Here is a 20,016-nt window from a genome sequence, read left to right on the forward strand (position 1 = left end):
ACTCTTAAAATAAAGAAGTTGCCCTGCAGTAAAAGAGTGAAATTGAGAAGCAAAATGAGTCCTGGCAGCATTGCCTAAATGTTGCTAGACTGGGGCTAGATGTAGCTAGACTGGGGCTTTCCCACAGTTTGATTACATGAGCCCATGAATTACCCTTTCTGTCTGGTTCACGTAAGGTTTCTATTACTTGTCACCAAAAATACATCCTCATTTAGAGGAATGGAAGTATGAGAGAGAGGATCCAAAAGATGGAACATAAAAATGATTTTTCTATAAGAGTAACTGTTGAGAAACAAAAGATTTAGTGTGATCACAAGGAACTGGTGGCTAACTTGATCATACACTTGGCTATGAGTTTAGTTTGTTTTGTTTGTTTGTTTGCTTGTTTGTTTGTTTTTGAGACAGACTCTCTATCACCCAGGCTGGAGTGCAGTGGCATGATCTTAGCTCACTGTAACCTCCACCTCCCAGGTTCAAGTGATTCTCCTGCCTCAGTCTCCTGAGTAGCTTGGATTACAGGCATGTGTCACCCACACCCGGCTAACTTTTGTTTTTTCAGTAGAGACGGGGTTTTGCCATGTTGACCAGGCTGGTCTCAAACTCCTGACCTCAAGTGATCCACCCACCTCGGCCTCCCAGAGTGCTGGGATTACAGGCATGAGCCACTGCGCCCGGCCAGGTTCATTTTTTTACTGAGTATGTATTATATTTTTAAAAAATAATTTCAACTTTTATTTTAGATTTGGGGGTACATGTGCAGGTCTGCCACATGGAAACGCTGTATGACGCTAAGGTTTGGGGTATGGATGATCCCATTACCCAGGCAGTGAGCACAACACCCAACAGGCAGTCCCTCAGCCCTCAGCCCCCTCCCTTCCTCCTCCCTAAAATTTTTAAAGCACACATATTTCAATCCAAAAAAAATTAACTGCTGGATATTTACCCTAGATAAACCTGTGCACCAAGAGAAATGTGTAAAGATATTTGCCACAGCTTCATTGTAATAATAACACAATTACAAACAACTGAGTTGTCCATCAAAAAAAGACTAGTTATGCAATCCATTGTAGATTCCTATCGTAGCTGGGCTAGGTGGCTCATGCCTGTAATCCCAGCACTTCCGGAGGCCAATGCAGGAGGATTGCTTGAGGCCAGGAGTTCAAGACCAGCCTGGACAACATAATACCCCTATCTCTACAAAAAAAAAAAAAAACTACACACACCAGTAGTCCCAGCTACTCAAGAAGCTGAGGTGGAGCTTGAGCGCAGGAGTTCGAGGCTGCAGTGAGCCATGATTGTGCCACTTGCACTCCAGCCTGGATGACAGAGCAGGACTCTGTCTCATAAATACATACATACATACATAAAGATTCATATTATGCAATGCCTGGCAATAGTTAAAAAGAATGAGATGGATCTGTTTGCACTGACATGGAAAGAACTACAAGACATTGCTATGTAAAATAAGCAAAGCAAATCAAATCATTAGCATATTTAGTGTTTAAAATAAAATACACCAAAAACCCTCTATATTTCTATATGGGAACATACACATGTAGGTAAATGTATACAAAAGAACTGGAAGTTTCCACCTCCAACTGTTAATTGGGTTTACCTCTGCGGGGATGGGGATTGGAAGCAGTTAAAAGGAGCCCTTCACTACATCTGTTTTGTTTGAATTGTTTGCACATAAATAAATTCACTAGAACTTGTTTAACTAAAACAAATGAAAGAGTATTAATAATCTTACTGAGTGTAAATGGTGTACTAGCTATTATGTAAAATAGATAAGGTCTCTGCCGAATGGAAATGGCTAATATATTATTAGGGACTTATGCTCATAACTTCCAATAATAAAGTGATCAAGTGTACTAAAAAAAGAGACTTTTTTTAGAAGGTCAATTAGGATAGGATATAAGGAACAGACAATGTTTTATATTTATGAATAGAATATCTGACTAACGAATGGTTTTTCAGAAGCTCATCTATAGGTTCCTTGTTGGAAACTCAATGCATTTTCCCACAGAAAGGATGTTTAGGTTTCCAAGTCACAAAATCTGTTGTATCAGTATTCTGTAATAGGACACATCAGAAACACTCCAGAAATTAAGGCAAAAATTTGTTGAATGCTACAGAGGAGCTCACAGAATCTAGGGATACATGAAATTTCAGCCCTTAGGAAGAACAAGGACCAACGTAACTCTCAGATATAGGCTGCTAATGGACAGATGGGTTATCAGTCTTTTCTGAAAATCAGAATCTTCAATCAAGTGATATAAGAAAAATATTGGTAAACCCTTGTATCTGTCTACTTCAGCTTCCTAGATTCTTGAAACTGGCAGGTCCTCAAAATGTTGAAGTTTTGAAGACTTTCTAAGTTCACATCCAGCTGTGCTACTTGCCATGTGACTTTGAACAAATTACTTAATTGTAACTATCTTCATCTGTAAATATGGGGACAAAACCATACCTAGCTCCTAGACTTTTTGAGAGGATTAAGTTAAATGTTAAATTATTGGCATAGAATATATATTCAATTAATAATAACTGATTATTTTCTTTTCATAAACAAAAATACATCAAAATGTTAAGTATTCATAATAGGGTATGTATAAAAGGATAGTCTCTCATCATTTACAATAAGATTCTCTAATAAGAGCATTTTATTCTAATTGTAAAGAGAAATATTTTTAAAGGTCTGAGTTGCAATAATCTGATGACTAGAATTACAGTATGATCTGCTACTCAAATTAGACATTTTTATGATCAGTCAACAATGTTCAGATGTCTTTAGTAGAGTTTAAGAACTATAACTAAGGAAATTTTACCCTTGTAAGTTAATACAATTTTTGCTTCCAAAGAAAAAGATAATAGAGTTCTTTAATTGGAACTGACTTAGTTCAACAGATCCAAGTGAGTTTCAAAAATGTATATTTCATGCCGTGGTTCTTTTTTTGTATATTCATTATTCATGATGGTTCTGTCTTGGTCTTGAACAAATAAACACCAGAATATTTCAAAATACTGAACTGTCTGTCCTGGCAAGAAATAGATCCCAAATGACTAAAACCAAAAAGGTCACAAGATGTTTCCCTTCATTTTGTCATTTGATCTTAGATAGGCTGCTCTCAAAACACAAGCTACAATAAGTAGCTATTTCAAGACAAGACAGCGCAAATCTATCATTTAAAAGAGGAAATAAGTGGTGAGGACATTGCATTCCTAAACTAGAACTTCTGAACTGAAAACTTTTTGTTTGTTTAAAGTAATTCCACATGACAAGAAATCAGTAAGAGAAGAATCCCACATTAGTGATGGCATATTAAGAGCTGGCTTTCTGACCACCCACTTCACTGCCTTTCAACCAGCCTCCTCTACACATATGCAGGTTGCAAAGTGAGACACTTGCTTTCCTACACTCCATGTGATGGAGGTAGAATAGCCATATGGCCCAGTTCTGCCCAATGAAGTATAAACAGAAGTCTCTGCTTGAGGCTTCTTAGCAATGCTATTTTAAAGGCTGGGCAGGCTGGGCCCCGTGGCTCACACGTGTAATCTCGGCACTTTGAGAGGCCGAGGCAGGAGGATCACATGAACACAGGAGTTTAAGACCAGCCTAGGCAACATAGGGAGAACCCGTCTCTACAAAAACATTTAAAAGTTAGCCAGGCATGGTGGTGCAAGCCTATGGTCCCAGCTACTTGAAAGGCTGAGGTGAGAGGATGGTGAGAGCCTGGGAGGTCAAGGCTGCAGTGAGCCGTGATAGCACCACTGCACTCCAGCCTGAGTGACAGAACAAGACCCTGTCTCCAAAACAAAACAAAACAAAACAAAAAATCAAATAAAGGTTGGGCTGGCAACTTCCACCACACTTTGCACCTTCTTCTTCCTCTTTCTTCCCACTTGGGACACTGACAAGATGCCTGAAGTGAAACTATTTTACACACAAATGAGAGCCACATGAAGACATGGTTGAGCCACCATCTCAGGCCTGGAAACTTGTCTCTAGATATCTTTGTCACTTGAGGCAAATAAACTCCTTACTTATTTAAACCTACCTTTCTGGCCAGGCGCAGTAGCTCAAGCCTGTAATTCCAGCACTTTGGGAGGCCGAGGCGGGTGGATCACCTGAGGTCAGGAGTTTGAGACCAGCCTGGCCAACATGATGAAACCCCATCTCTACTAAAAATACAAAAATTAGCTGGGCATGGTGGCAGGCACCCGTAATCCCAGCTACTCAGGAGGCTGAGGCAGGAGAATGACTTGAACCTGGGAGGCGGAGGTTGCAGTGAGCCGAGGTTGCAGCGAGCCAAGATCGCACCATTGCACTCCAGCCTGGGTGACAAGAGCAAGACTCCATCTCAGAAAATAAAATAAAATAAAATAAAAATAAATAAACCTACCTTTCTTGGGTCTTCAGTTGCTTGCAGGCAAACACACTTATAACTGATAAAAGTAGGCTGGGCACAGTGGCTCATACCTGTAAATCCCAGAGCTTTGGAAGGCCGAGGTTGGAGGATCACTTGAAGACAGGAGACTAAGCCTGGGCAACATAATGGCAACTTGTCTCTACAAAAAAAAATTAGTCGGTGTGGTGGCATGAGCCTAGCTACTCAGGAGGCCGAGGCAGTGGGATCACTTGAGCCCAGGAAGTCAAGACTGCAGTAAGCTATGATTGCACCACTGCACTCCCAGCCTGGGTGACAGAGCAATCACCTGTCACTAAAAAAAGTAGCAATTTATTTTTCCAGAGACTATAAAGCACCTTAAGGAAAGATGTTTTCATCAGATTGCACTAGGAATGCCTGAGAAACTTGATTTACATGGTGTGAAATGTGAATTTTTCTTTCCTGTACTTATTACCAAAATCAACTCTAATGAAAAAACAAAGCTAACAGTTTTGAAATTTTTTATTGACACGTAGAATGAATACAGTCATCCTTCAGTACCTGTGGAAGATTTGTCCTAGGACCCCCCCACTGATAGCTAAATTCAGAGATGCTCAAGACCCTAATATAAAATGGCATAGTATTATTTGCAAATAACCTACACACATCCTCCCCGTGTACTTTAAATCATCTTATAATACCATTACTTATAATACCTGATACAACGGAAATTCTATGTAAATAGTCATTATACTGAACTGTTTAGGGAATAATGACAAGGAAAAAAGTCTGTTACATGTTCAGTACAGAGGTAATTTTAGAAGTTTTTTTATCTGCAGTTGATTGAATCCACAGGTGTAGAACTCATGAATACAGAAGGCTGATGTATATAATTTTAAGAGAATATCAATGAAATTGTAATGTGGATACATCTTTCCAGTTTTCTTTTCCTAAAGAAGGTAAAAAACATTCTTCACTACTAAGTTGAAATATCACAGCATAACAATTACATAATGTTTTTCTTTTTGTTTGTTTTGTTTTTTTTGAGACAGTTTGACTCTGTTGCCCAGGCTGGAGTGCAATGACACGATCTTGGCTCACTGCAACCTCTGCCACCAGGGTCCAAGTGATTCTCCTGCCTCAGCCTCCCGAGTAGCTGGGATTACTGGTGTGCACCACCATGCCCAGCTAATATTTGTATTTTTTGTAGAGATGGGGTTTCACCATGTTGGCCAGGTTGGTCTTGAACTCCTAACCTCAAGTTATCCACCCGCCTCAGCCTCCCAAAGTGCTGGATTACAGGCGTGAGCCACCGTGCTTGACCCTACAATTACACAATGTTTTTCACACTGGGGGTGCGGTAGATGAAGTAAATAAATATGTGCATCTCTTAGAACCAAATATGGGGATTTTCCAAGCTCTACCACTCCCTGCCCCACCCCTTTCCTTCTGAATTTACGACGTACATTTTGGAGACAGTTCTAGATTATTTCTAATTTTTGTAATTAAAATTACTTAATGGTATTATAAACTACAGAAAAGCTACTACTATCTTTATTCAACTGATTTCCTCAAAATAGAAGAGACTTTTGAACTACAGGCAGGGTTTACCTGCTATGAAAGGGCCCAATATCCATCTGTGGGTATTTTAAGGCCTCTGTACACCTGCCAGATCAAAGTTCTCATGCCCCTGGGATTAAGTTAGTAGTTGGTCATCACACGTAGAATTGTATAATTTAGGGCATAGGGTGGGGTCACCCAGGGGCTAACTCAGGGAAAAAAAACCCCACAGATATGGAGGGAAAAAAGACCTCATAGAGCCATCATGCAGTTATATTTCAGGGACTTTGGAGTAAGATTTCACTGCAGCAAGTTTATGCTGATTTTCTTTTAAAAATTAATAACTGGATTAAGATACATCCTACTGCCAGTTATAAATGCAAATATATGACTTGGGAGGGGCAACACATTTATTCAGCAACATCCCCATACACTTTAAAGTTTACTTGGATTAGTAAATTAGAACAGTGGAGCAAACGAACTATTCATTTGACTTTCAGGTTGCTAATTCTTTAATTGCATTAATTAAAAACTAGTACAACCATGAACTTACATTCACTTCCCCAAAAGTATTTAGTCAATCAGTCACGTAATAGTTTCACAAATGTGGGCAAATTAACTCATCTAGTTTGTAAAAATAAAGTTACTACCTCACCAGGTGATTGTTCACATGAACATGTGTGAACCACGTAGCAACACAGAAAGTCTCAGATCCCAGGTATCCTGAGCACCAAGGTCTGCTAACTTATTCTAGGGCAGTAGAACAATAATCTGGAATTTTTCCAAATTCTGCTATTAGCTCTGTTGAAGGCCTCTGGGGCTCTCTCAACTCTCACAGCTATACTGACTGCAACCATCTCGGAGACATGTAACAGGTCTGCTGACTTCAAACCCCAAGCCCTTAGTCATTTACCATTGCTATACTGTCTTGGCATAGCATAAAAGTCTCTAGAGAGATATGACACAGAGCCCTTTCCAGGGAAAGGCACATTTATTAGTCCTAGGACCAAAGTTTCTGCCAGATATTCATCTACTCTGTGAGCTGGGCTAGACAAGGTAGAAACCACAAGTATGTCTTCCCTTTAGGCTCAGAGCAAAGTCAGGGCATCTTTTCTCATAAGCTTGGGGCTTAGACAGTAAAGTCACAGTCCAAAGAGAAAACAAACCCTCTTAAAGCTCTGCAGGGAACTTTATGAGAGGGAAGATGACTCAGCACAAGAGAAAGAGTGTGTTGATGCCTTTGTTCCTCCAGAATGATGGCCTCATTGTGTTCCTGTGTTCTTGACATCTTTGATGTGTCCTTTAATGCTGGCCAGTGCAAGATGTTAGATTATGGGGACACGGTGGTGGGGAGGGTGCTGTGGTCAACATATGCTTTCAAGGCTCCATCTACTTTCAACTTCCTCAGTACATGTTCATCCTTCCCTCCTATGAAGTCTTTTTTTTTTTTTTTTTTTTTTTTTTTGAGACAGAGTCTTGCTTTGTTGCTCAGGCTAGAATGCAGTGGCACGATCTCGGCTTATTGCAACCTCCACCTCCCGGGTTCAAGCGATTCTCCTGTCTCAGCCTTCCAAGTAGCTGGGATTACAGGTGCCCGCCACCATGCCCGGCTAATTTTTATATTTTTAGTGGAGATGGGGTTTCACCATGTTGGCCAGGCTGCTGTGACCTCAGGTGATCCAACTGCCTCAGCCTCCCAAAGTGTTGGAATTACAGGTGTGAGCCACCGCACCTGGCCCCTCCTGTGAAGTCTTGTAACACAACTTATTCTTATGTTCAGATCTCATTATTTTTATGGGAATAGCTTTTCTCCTTAGGTCGATTATAAATTATTTGAGGACAGGATGCACAGATTAGAAGTAGACTGTGAAGGCAACAAATACTTGCTAATGTTTGTCATTGATAAGATAAGGGAAAAGTGTATTTGATAAAAGAGGTAACTCCTACCTGGTGTAGGAGTTTGGAAGCATTCTTACAAATCAAGAAATGTTGAAGAAAAATGTCTAGAGGTGTCACTAGACTAGGAAAGTGGGTCAGGAAGCATGAGAAAAACAAGATATTCACTAGAAGAGGAAGTGGATTTTGAGGCCAGGAATAAGGTCAGTGCTGCAGACACTGCAGGAATAACCACAAGAGAAATTCCAGCCAGGAGGGGCCGCCCATGCCTGGGGAGCATTTAGCGGGTAGATCCACATTTGAACTGTTCCTCAGGGCCTCTTCTGTGGCATTGGAGAATATCACTGTAGGACTTTGGACTATTGTGATTTGTCTATTGCAAAACATATGCATAGAGTCGTTTGTTTATCTCTAAACAAAGCTTGATTTTACTATACTGCAATTATTGAACTTGCAAGGGGAGTTCATACCAGTTTACTACACTATCCCATGGACAGTTTTCTCAGGTTTTGGCTCATGCCAAAGCACATGATTTTGGAGTAAAAAAAGACTCTGTCATTTCAACTTTCTAAGCCTAGTTTCCGCTCTTCCGAAATGGGAATATTTCTCATCTCAACAAGGTGTTGCTTTTAACACCTTACCAGAGATACATAATAGACCCTTCATGAGTATTAGTTTCCTTCCTGTCTTTATGCCATAAGTATATCTGGCAAGATGATTATAACTTGAAACATTAGTGCATATTTAAGCCATAATAAATGTTTCCTAGAAGAAAGCAAAGGAAATAGCCTGAAACTTCAGAATCACTGAAGGAAGCCCAAGAAGGCATTTAGTTACTTTAGTATTGCTCTTCTAAACAGATGACCTATGACACAAAGCAAACTATCTTTCAATTAAGTTATTTTTGTTTTATGATGCATTCAGTTTTCATAAAATCAACTCTAGGAATTAGTTTATTTCCTCCCATGAAGAAAACAATTTTTTGATTTCTATAAAAAAATTATATCTTTTATATCTATATCATAAATAATTTTAATTTTAAATGCTGTTTAAAAGTAATTTTAACTGGCATTTTCATTGGCTGATACTTACAATCTTGACAATTTGATTTTGCTTATATTGACACATATTTCTAACTATCCGTTTAGATATTCTCCTAAGGTCTCTTACCACATCAAAAGGATATATAAACAAGTATTCTTTTAAAACAAAACTGAGAATATAGTAATCATGTTACTATCTATATGTATCTCATAACATGATGTTGATGTTGTAAAACTCAAATACACACAGTAAAATTTATTTTAAAAAAAACCAAAACTGAGAAAACAGCAACCAATAATTTTTTCTTGGTCCTAAAAAGAGCGAACACAAACATATCATTTTTCTATGCATGCATAATAAACACCTTTACTTTTTTCGACGTGGTTAACAGTCACTAATAAAGTCAGAGGATATTGATGATATATATATGCACATATATATAATTATATTAAAAAAGGAAATGTCTATTTCAGGCCCAAATTATTATCTGTTAATAATAATCATTAGTAAATAAGAAAAGGTACTTCAATCAACAAATACTAACTGAGCTTCTATTATATACCGAGCACATAGTGCTGGCTCCTATAAATCTGGGTGTGAATGAGACCCCTTATTTCTTACTAGTTATACTGTATATTTACAAATGATTGAATCATATATGCTTTATTTTTTACTGCATTAAAACACATGTACTTCTTAAAGCTTAATATTTAAAAAAATGAATTTTATCAGAAAAATAAATCAACAAAGAAGCCAGAGGGTTGGGTCAAAATGTTTCTCAGCTGTAAGAGCTCCTAGATTGATAGCCAATAAGCTATCTGGAAGTCATTCTCTTCCTTTAAAATTCAGCCTAGTTATAGAAAGTCCTCTCGCTCCCACAGGTCATATTAGCAATAGCAGTTGAGATCAGAAGGTTGGAGGAGTAGAGATAGGGTTCATACAAATTGAAGCCATATGTACTAGATGAGATTATTGTCCAAAATTCTTCCCTCCATCCCTCAGTCATGTAAACCTAAAGCTCACTGAAGTGGGTGGGGTGTATTTCTCCCCTCTATTCATGATCCACCCATGTAGCTGGCTCTGGACATGGAATGTCATTGAACATGACACACGCAAAAGACTTAAATGTGCTTGCGTCCTTCAGCTCCGCCTCTCGCACCCCTGTGATTGCCACGAAGACAGCATGCACCAGCTAGCTGCTATCCCTTCAGTCTGGGCCCCAGAATGAGACACACAGTCTTATGTTTAACCTAAAGTCTGCCAAGCCAAGATGACCCACAGTCTGAAGCAGAGTTATCCCAGCTGACCCACAGACCTGTAAGCAAAAAAAAAAAAAAAAAAGCTTCATGTTGTAAACTACTGAGTGTTTTTGAGATTTGGGAGATAAGGAGATAAATAGCTAACTAAAACACCACTGCTGGTTAAAATAAACAGCACATTTTTTCACTTGTTCACATTGGTAGGTCCAGATTGTAACATTCTAATAGTATGAAGACTATGTATTTTACATAAAGAGACTCTAACGAGTTGCACAATTAATTTAAGATCCCTATGAGAAGTAATAAACCATATCAATGTAGAGAATTATGAAACACAGGTGGGAGTCAGTAGAAAGTGAAGAAACAGCGCCACAAATGAGTAAAGCAGGTCTAGCAGGCTTGTCTGTTGAGTTACTGACTACTGGCATGTCCCAATGGCATTGACACAACCATCACACTTGAATTCTTTTCCTGTTAATAACACAAAGCTTCTCTTTTCCATTCATAATTGAAACATACTTTCATAGGTCAAAGACTTTGGCTTCAGAAACTTAATAAAATGAGACTTTAATTTGATATCAAATCTAATTTGAAAGGCAAGCACAGTGAGTGATGGTCTTCTTTGTTTAAGTTACTGAGGAAAGTACAGAGGCGACTATTATGTAAATTACACACTTGTACCAAGACAAGGTTGAATGCTGTCACAGTGAGCTCTGTGAATGGAGGTGAGGGAGGCAACCATGCAAGCTGAGAAAAATAATGAAGAAACGATTCATTACACAGTACACATCCTATATGTAGGACACAAAGGCAAGCAGAATCAACACGCAACATGTTGGCCAACACCATACTCACATTGGGAGGAGAAATGTAGTTTCAATAAAACATTATCCATAACTTGTTGATTTGAACTTTTCTGCTTGGTAGCTGTGTTGAAATCTAATTTTAGATGTTGTTTCTGTTTTATGGGTGTAATGTGTGTAAGAGGTAGGAAGTGTTGCCTCAGTTAGTATCCAGTTGTTGTGAGTGATAGAGAAGCCAGCACAAACCCACTTTAACGGGAAAGAAAAAGTACTTATTCATGTAGCGGAAAAGCCTCAGTGTCATGAACTGCTTGACCCAGGAACTCCAAAAATGTAATCAAAATTTGTTTTCTTTTAGTTCCTTGGCACTGCCTTTTGCTGCGTCAGCTTCATTTTTAACATTCATGTGGTAGCTTCTGTATCTCCAGGCTCACATCTTCCTTATCACCACAGGTTCCTGTGGAAAAAGAAAAATGAGGCAGGGTGTATGGTGGCTCAGCCTGTCATCTCAGCACTTTGGGAGGGCAAGGCAGTTGGATGCTTAAGCCCAGGAATTTGAGATGAGCCTGGGCAACCTAGAGAGACCTTATCTCTACCCAAAATTTTAAAAATTAGCCAGGTATGGTGGCATGTGTCTGTGGTCCCAGCTGCTCGGGAGGCTGAGGTGGGAGGATTGCTTGAGCTTTGGAGGTCGAGGCTACAGTGAGCTATGATCTCACCACTGCACTCCAGCCTGGGCGACAGAGAAAGACTCTGTCTCAAAAAAGAAAAAGTAGACCCCATGCAACTGTAATATTCACTCAGATGGATCCAATCACTGTAGCCAGGGCCTCATGCTTCTGTGGCGTTACTGGAAGTGTGCACGCTGATCATTTTCAATGACAGGTGGGGCTAGGAGAAAAGTTCCCAGAAGGAAATTAGGGTCCTCTCAGGAAAGTAAGATTTATTTTTGGTGAACAAGCAACAGCAACTCTCTTCTACAGCAGGAGTTGGCAAACTATGGCCCACGGGCCAAACTTATCCTACTGCCTGTTCTTATACAACCCACTATTTTCAGGCTCAAATTACTATCTGTTAATCAGTAATAATACTTACTAAAGAAGAAAATAATGTATGTCAATCAATAAATATTTATTGTAATAAATTAAATTATTTATTGTAAGGAAGCCAGTTGGTTAGCAGAAAGAGATGCAATAAAGATTGGGTTTTAGGCTGGGTGCAGTGGCTCACACCTATAATCCCAGCACACTGGGAGGCCGAAGCAGGAGGACTGCTTGAGCCCAGGAGTTCAAGACCAGCCTGGGCAACATAGTGAGATTCCATCTCTACAAAAAAATACAAAAATAAGCCGGGTGTCATGGCATGTGCCTATAGTCCCAGCTACTCGGGAGGCTGAGGTGGGAGGATTGCCTGAGCCCAGGAGGTCGAGGCTGCAGTGAGCCGTGATCTCGCCACTGCATTCCAGCCTGGGTGACAGAGTGAGACTGTCTCAAAACAAACAAACAAAACAAAACAAAAAATCCCCATATTATTTCAAATAAGGTCACATTCTGAGGTTCCCACTGGACATGAATATTGGAGGGAGAGACATTTAACCCACTAGAGCTGGGTTCAATAAAATCATACTCTCAGGAATTTGAAATGGGGTAACTAATAGTGGGAGTTGAAGTTTAAAAGATATCCTAGAAGAAGGGAAGGGGCAGGAGGAGCCTGGAGCAAACCAAACTTATGAGCAAGATAAAAGTACGAAAAATCATAAATGGTAGTTACAGCAGAAGCTTTGAGGAAGGGAAATGGTGTGGAATAAACCACAAGGAAGTCAGCTGGTAGCAGAAAGGGAAGCAAAAGGACACTAAGAGGAGCAGAGATCAAGAGTATCAGAGTCATGTTAATAATACCACAGCACTCAAATGACAAGGATAATGCACTGTCCCTTAGCTGCCGTGGAATCAATACAGATTCTGAAGATATCTGTTGGTCTTTAGTTTCTTTGAGATTCTGTGTCTCTTTTTGCCAAATATATATTTATAATAATCACCACTGCTAGATCTTGCTGAAGGATGTCTCTTTTACTTACAATCTGAAGAGCTTAACAGCTTGACTATATATATGGGTGTGTGTGTGTTTGAGATGGAGTTTCGCTCTCGTTGCCCAGGCTAGAGTGCAATGGTGTGATCTCAGCTCACTGCAACCTCCGTGTCCTGGGTTCAAACAGTTCTCCTGCCTCAGCCTCCTGCGTAGCTGGGATGCACCACCACACCTGGCTAATTTTGTATTTTTAGTAGAGATGGGGTTTCTCCATGTTGGTCAGGCTGATCTCAAATTCCAGACCTCAGATCTGCCTGCCTCGGCCTCCCAAAGTGCTGGGATTACAGGCGTGAGCCACCGCGCCTGGCCAGCTTGACTATATTTAAGATAACTGTTGAGTAAAATTTATGTGCTGTATGCCCATTGAGGTCTGTTATTCTAATTAATCTTTTTTTGCCATATTTATAAAAAGTATTGAGTTAAAGAACTGTGTTGGGTTATTATAAAAGATAGCTATGTCAGCCAGATTGAGCCAAATGATAATTGCAGTCAAAATGTGACTGTCAACAGTGAGCATGCCAGGTGTCCTCATCAGCGTTTACTAGGAAGGCTGCAGTAACAACCCCCAAATCACCACGGTTTAAAACAATGAAGGATTATATCTCATTCATGTTGCTCATTAGCCATGGGTTGATGGCAATTCTTCTGCTCCATGTGTCTTCTTCAATATCTGAGATGTGCCATTCTCAGGGCACAGGGAAAAGAGGATAGAGTTGGCAAAAACACACAAGAACGATCAACACTTTTACTTCAACATAATGTAAGTCACATCCACTCATCTGCCATTGGCCAAAACAAGCTGCATGTCGAAGACCAACATCAATGGAGCAGGAATGTGTACTTTTTCCATAGAAAGTTGTATTAGCCCGTTTTCACGCTGCTGATAAAGACCCCCCGACCATGATTCAAATTATCTCCCACCGGGTCCCTCCCACAACATGTGGGAATTATGGGAGTACAATTCAAGATGAGATTTGGGTGGGGACACAGCCAAACCATATCATTCCACCCCTGGCCCCTCCAAATCTCATGTTCTCACATTTCAAAACCAATCATACCTTCCCAACAGTCCGTGAAAGTCTTAACTCATTTCAGCATTAACCCAAAAGTCCACAGTCCAAAGTCTCATCTGAGACAAGGCAAGTCCCTTTCGCCTATGAGCCTGTAAAATCAAAAGCAAGCTAGTTACTTTCTAGATACAATGGGTGTACTGGTATTGGGTAAATACAGCCATTCCAAATGGTAGAAATTGGACAAAACAAAGGGGTTACAGGGCCCGTGCAAATCCGAAATCCAGTGGCAATCAAATTTTAAAGTTCCAAAATGATCTCCTTTGACTCCAGGTCTCACATCCAAATCACGCTGATGCAAGAGGTGGGTTCCCATGGTCTTGGGCAGCTCCACCCCTGTGGCTTTGCAGGGTACAACCTCCCTTCCTCCAGTTGCTTTCACAGGCTGGTGTTGAGTGTCTGTGGCTTTTCCAGGCGCACAGTGCAAGCTGTTGGTGGATCTACCATTCTGGGGTCTAGAGGACGGTGGCCCTCTTCTCAAGGCTCCACTAGGTGGTGCCCCAGTAGGGACTCTATGTGGGGGCTCTGACCCCACATTTCCCTTCTGCACTGTCCTAGCAGAGGTTCTCCATGAGGGCAACGCCCCTGCAGCAAACTTCTGCCTGGGCATCCAGGTGTTTCCATACATTTTCTGAAATCGACACGGAGGTTCCCAAACCCCAATTCTTGACTTGCAGACTCAACACCACATGGAAGCTGCCAAGGCTTGGGGCTTGCACCCTCTGAAGCCACGGCCCAAACTCTATGTTGGCCCCTTTCAGCCACAGCTGGAGCAGCTGGGACACAGGGCACCAAGTCCCTGGGCTACACACAGCACAGGGACCCGGGCCTGGTCAACAAAACCATTTTCTCCTAGGCCTCTAGGCCTGTGATAGAAGGGGATGCCATGAAGACCTCCAACATGCCCTGGAGACATTTTCTCCATTGTCTTGGGGCTTAACATTCAGTTCCTCCTTACTTGTGCAAATTTCTGCAGCCAGCTTGAATTTCTCCTCAGAAAATGGGTTTTTCTTTTCTATCACATTGTCAGGCTGCAAATTTTCCAAACGTTTGTGCTCTGCTTCCCTTATAAAACTGAATGCCTTTAACAGCACTCAAGTCACCTCTTGAATAATGCTTTGCTGCTTAGAAATTTCTTCCTCCACCAGTGCGGTGGCTCATGCCTGTAATACCAGCACTTTGGGAGGCTGAGGCAGGAGGATCACCTGATGTCAGGGGCTCGAGACCAGCCTGGCCAGCATGGTGAAACCCCATCTCTATTAAAAATACAAAAATTAGCTGGGTGTGATGGCACACACCCGTAAATCCCAGCTACTCTGGAGGCTGAGGTAGGAGAATTGCTTAAACCCGGCAGGCGGAGGTTGCAGTGAGCTGAGATCGCGCCACTGCACTCCAGCCTCAGTGACAGAGCAAGACTCCATCTCGGAAAAAAAAAAAAAAAAAGAAAGAAAGAAATTTCTTCCTCCAGATACCCTAAATCATCTCTCTCAAGTTTAAAGTTCCTCAAATCTCTAGGGCAGGGGCAAAATGCCACCAGTCTCTGCTAAAACATAACAAGAGTCATCTTTACTCCAGTTCCCAACAAATTCCTCATCTCCATCTGAGACCACCTCAGCCTGGACCTTATTGTCCACACTGCTTCAGGCTTTCAGTCAAAGCCATTCAACAAGTCTCTAGGAAGTTCCAAACTTTCCCACATTTTCCTGTCTTCTTCTGAGCCCTCCAAACTGTTCCAACCTCTGCCTGTTACCCAGTTCCAAAGTTGCTTCCACATTTTCAGGTATCTTTTCAGAAATGCCCCACTCTACTGGTACCAATTTACTGTATTAGTCCTTTTTCATGCTGCTGATAAAGACATGCCTGAGATTGGGAAGAAAAAGAGGTTTAATTGGACTTACAGTTTGGCTGGGGAGGCCTCAGAGTCACGGCGGAAGGTGAAAGGCACTTCTTACATGGCGATGGCAAGAGAAAATGAGGAAGATGCAAAAGCATCAGAAACCCCTGATAAAACCATCAGATCTCATGAGACTTATTCACTACCACGAGAACAGCATGGGGGAAGCCACCCCCATGATTCAAATTATCTCCCACCTGGTTCCTCCCACAACACATGGGAATTATGGGAGTACAATTCAAGATGAGATTTGGGTGGGGACACAGCCAGACCATATCAAAGGCACTGTGAGTTATTATGGGCAGAGATATGTGTAATCCTCTCTCAGGAAGGGAAATTACTTAAAACAATAATAAAAGATAAATGGTTACCATGGAAACTATCACACAGAAACATGTATCAATATATTGATATAATCTTTTCCTGATGATATGTAATTTATGAAAGCTATAAAGTAATATATATCTTAAATTTAATCATGTGTATATATTCTTATATATAAACTGTAATTGTTATCATTATCTAGTATGCAAGAAACTGCTAGATTATATGTATGTGTGTGTGTGTGTGTGTGTGTGTGTGTGTAATCAGTTGTTCCTCTAAAGGAATTTTTTTTATTTTTTTAAGACAGGGTCTTGCTTTGTCACCCAGGCTGGAGTGCAGTGGCATGATCATAGCTCACTGCAGCCTTGACTTCCCAGGCTCAAGCAAGTAGCTGGGACTACAGGTGTGCCACCACGCCCAACTAAGTTTTGTATTTTTTGTAAAGACAAGGTTTCGCCATGTTGCCCAGGCTGGTCTCGAACTCCTGAGCTCAAGGGATCCTCCTGCCTCAATTTCCCAAAGTGCTGGGATTACAGGTGTGAGCCTCAGTGTCCGGCCCTCTAAAGAAATTTAAAACCAGTGTGAGTTATTTGTTTTCAAGCTAGTTATGAAGCATTACATATACATTTAAAACAGTAATGAACCAAGCAAGGAAAAGATCAGAAGCAGTACTACACACATACTGCCATGTGCATGCATGTGTGTATACGTATATATATATATAAGAATTTGGTATATTAAAAAATTTGGGATTTTAAATCAGTGGGAAGAGAATGAATTATTAAATAATTGGTGGTGAGATAACTAATCATATTTTCAAAAGCTGGGTCCTTATTGCATAATTTGTACCTAAATAGATTCCAGGTGGATTAAATATTTAAATTTTAAAAATCATAAAAATATTAGAAGGCTGGGCACAGTGGCTCATGCCTGTAATCCTAACACTTTGGGAGGCTGATGCATGAGAATGACTTGAGACTAGCCTGGGCAACATAGCAAGACCCTGTCTCTACAAAAAACGATTTTAAAAAATAGCCTGGTGTGGTGGTGGGTGCCTGAAATCCTAGCTACTCAGGAGGCAGAAGCAGGAAGATCACTTGAGCCTAGGAGCTTGAGGTTGCAGTGAGCCATGATCATCCCACTGCACTCCAGCCTGGGCGACAGAGCAAGATGCTGTCTCAAAAAAATTAATTAATTAATTAATTAAACATATATATGAAGAAAATGTAAAAGGAATGTTTATACAATCATGGGGCAGTGTAAGACTTTCTCAGCATTACACCAAAGATAGAAATAATAAGATTTTGATGAGCTTGGTTAATGTAGTGGATACCTTAAAAGGCAATCCCCTCCAAAAGGGAGTTAGCTCAGGAGACAAAAACTCTGCCCTATACCCAATCCATAGAACTGGATTCTTAGCAACTGTGTTAGAACGACATGATTCTGCTCCACTAGCCCTTGATACCGGACCCAACCTGAAGCAATCAGATTTCCTTTAAAGGGTATTTGGACTTGGAACAAAGAGCTCTGGTTCAGTCCAGCTGCTCTATTCAGTAGGAAACAGGTAAACACAAAAGAGATGAAATGGTCGTTTTCCACCCATCTTGTACCTGTGAAGCAAAAAAAGCTGTATTGTCAAGAGATAAAAGTAAAGCAGATGCACAGAGAAATGCAGATGTGGAGAGAGCACATTATGGCATTTCGGGTACTTGACTTCAGTACCTGGCTGCATTGTTGCCCTTGGGTGTAAGGAGCTGCATGTATCAATACATGCATTGGAAAGCTTTTGCGCGCCTCTCCTTTCTCACATCTGGTTGTGATGCAAATGATTCCACATAGACTTTTACTCTTTTTCTATCTCGGTATCTCACCTGAGGAGTGGGCAGGCCGGGCGCGTTGGCTCATGCCTGTAATCCCTGCACTTTGGGAGACCGAGGCGGGCAGATCACCTGGGGTCAGGAGTTCCACACCAGCCTGGTCAACATGGCGAAACCCCATCTCTACTAAAAACACAAAAACTAGCCAGGCTTGGTGGTGGGTGCCTGTAGTCTCAGTTACTCAGGAGACCGAGGCACGAGAATCGCCTGAATCCAGGAATCCAGAGTCAGAGACTGCAGTGAACCAAGATTGCACCATTGCACTCCAAACTGGGTGACACAGCACGACTGAATCTCAAAAAAAAAAAAAAAAAAAAAAAAAGAGAGAGAGAGAGAGTGGGTCACACTCTCTTGATTCCTGCCCATGGTCTTTAGTGGTGCCTTGGTGTAGGACAATGCAGGAGCCCACTGGGACTGACTGAGGCACCCAGAAGTGTTCACCACCAGTGGGGAGACTGCTTTCTCTTTTGTCCCTCAGATAGAGATCTGCAGGTGTCAGCAGAAATAAACACCAATCTCCTGCAACAGGGCCAACCCAATAATGCAGTCTAGCATTGCCTTTTTCTCCTTCCTGACTTCACTTTCCTTGGCCCCTCACTCCTGCTCCCTGGAATCGCATACCAAATCAAGCACCTGCATGCAGCCCTAGGCCCAGGCTCTGCTTTGGGGGAAACCCAGAAGAAGCAAGTGTGGCCACAGAAGTGGCCATAGAAAGAATGCTCTCGAGACAGGATTCTAAACCTGGATTACCCACTGGTCAGGCAGCAAAAAGAAATCCATCACTGGTAACAGGTGAGAGGGCTATACTCTCTGGTAGCTTCACAAAATGGCTTCCCTGATTGCCACTGTCTACATTTGATTGGAACGTGGTGGAGGCAGAAGACAAAGAATATGTGGTATTCTAGCACTGGAAGAGGTTGCAACAGTCATCATAAAAATTATTTTTAAAATGAATTATAGAATGGCTTCGCTTTGGTTAGCTGCTTTTAAACTCTTGATAAAAGAAATCAGCATACTCGGCCGGGCGCGGTGGCTCACGCCTGTAATCCCAGCACTTTGGGAGGCCGAGGCAGGTGGATCACGAAGTCAGGAAATCAAGACTAGCCTGGCCAACATGGTGAAACCCCATCTCTACTAAAAATACAAAAATTAGCTGGAGACGGTGGTGCACACCCGTAGTCCCAGCTACTCAGGAGGCTAAGGCAGGAGAATAGCTTGAACCTGGGAGGCAGAGGTTGCAGTGAGCCAAGATTGTGCCACTGCTGCACTCCAGCCTGGGGACAGAGTAAGACACTGTCTCAAAAAAAAAAAGAAATCAACATACTCATGTTATGTAGCTGCCCACTATAAAAATAAGAGTCCTCCATGGCAGTGGATACTCCGAGGCCTGTCATAGTGGTTCACACAGCACTTTGGGAGGCCGAGGCAGGCAGATCACCTGAGGTAAGGAGTTCGAGACCATCCTGGCCAACATGGCAAAACCCCATCTCTACTGAAAATACAAAAATTAGCCGTGCATGGTGGTGCTTGCCTGTAATCACAGCTACTCGGGAGGTTGAGGCAGGAAAATCGCTTGAACCTGGGAGGCAGAGGTTGCAGTGAGCCGAGATCATGCCACTGTACTCCAGTCTGGGTGACAGAGCGAGACTCTATCTCAAATAATAATAATAATAATAATAATAATAATAATAATAATAATAAAAGACACTTCCAAATAAAAGACAGTCTTTTCGATAATTGGTGCTGGATAGCCATGTGAAAAAAACAAGCTTTGACCTCTACTTCACACTACACCCCCAAATTAATTCTAGAT

General features: G+C 41.4%; 1 long non-coding RNA gene across 3 annotated transcripts in view, besides 1 other annotated feature; it reads right to left on the reverse strand.

Moving 5' to 3' along the window:
* Positions 6,695-7,345: an enhancer, noted in NCBI's record as "H3K27ac-H3K4me1 hESC enhancer chr6:139043918-139044568 (GRCh37/hg19 assembly coordinates)". NCBI's record gives its function as "activates a minimal SCP1, AML or CMV promoter by ChIP-STARR-seq in primed H9 embryonic stem cells {active_cell/tissue: H9 hESC(primed)}" and the evidence as "EXISTENCE:reporter gene assay evidence [ECO:0000049][PMID:30033119]".
* CCDC28A-AS1 (CCDC28A antisense RNA 1) overlaps positions 9,129-20,016 on the reverse strand; it is a 48,489-nt gene continuing 37,601 nt past the window's right edge. For 2 of the 3 annotated variants that reach the window (NR_161205.1, NR_161203.1), the window contains one exon: positions 9,129-11,407. This is a non-coding gene — a long non-coding RNA (CCDC28A antisense RNA 1). The remainder of the gene's footprint in view (positions 11,408-20,016) is intronic. The other variant, NR_161204.1, reaches the window with a different exon arrangement.

The sequence above is a fragment of the Homo sapiens genome, chromosome 6 (genome assembly GCF_000001405.40).
Source record: "Homo sapiens chromosome 6, GRCh38.p14 Primary Assembly".
In the NCBI taxonomy this organism is placed as follows: domain Eukaryota; kingdom Metazoa; phylum Chordata; class Mammalia; order Primates; family Hominidae; genus Homo; species Homo sapiens.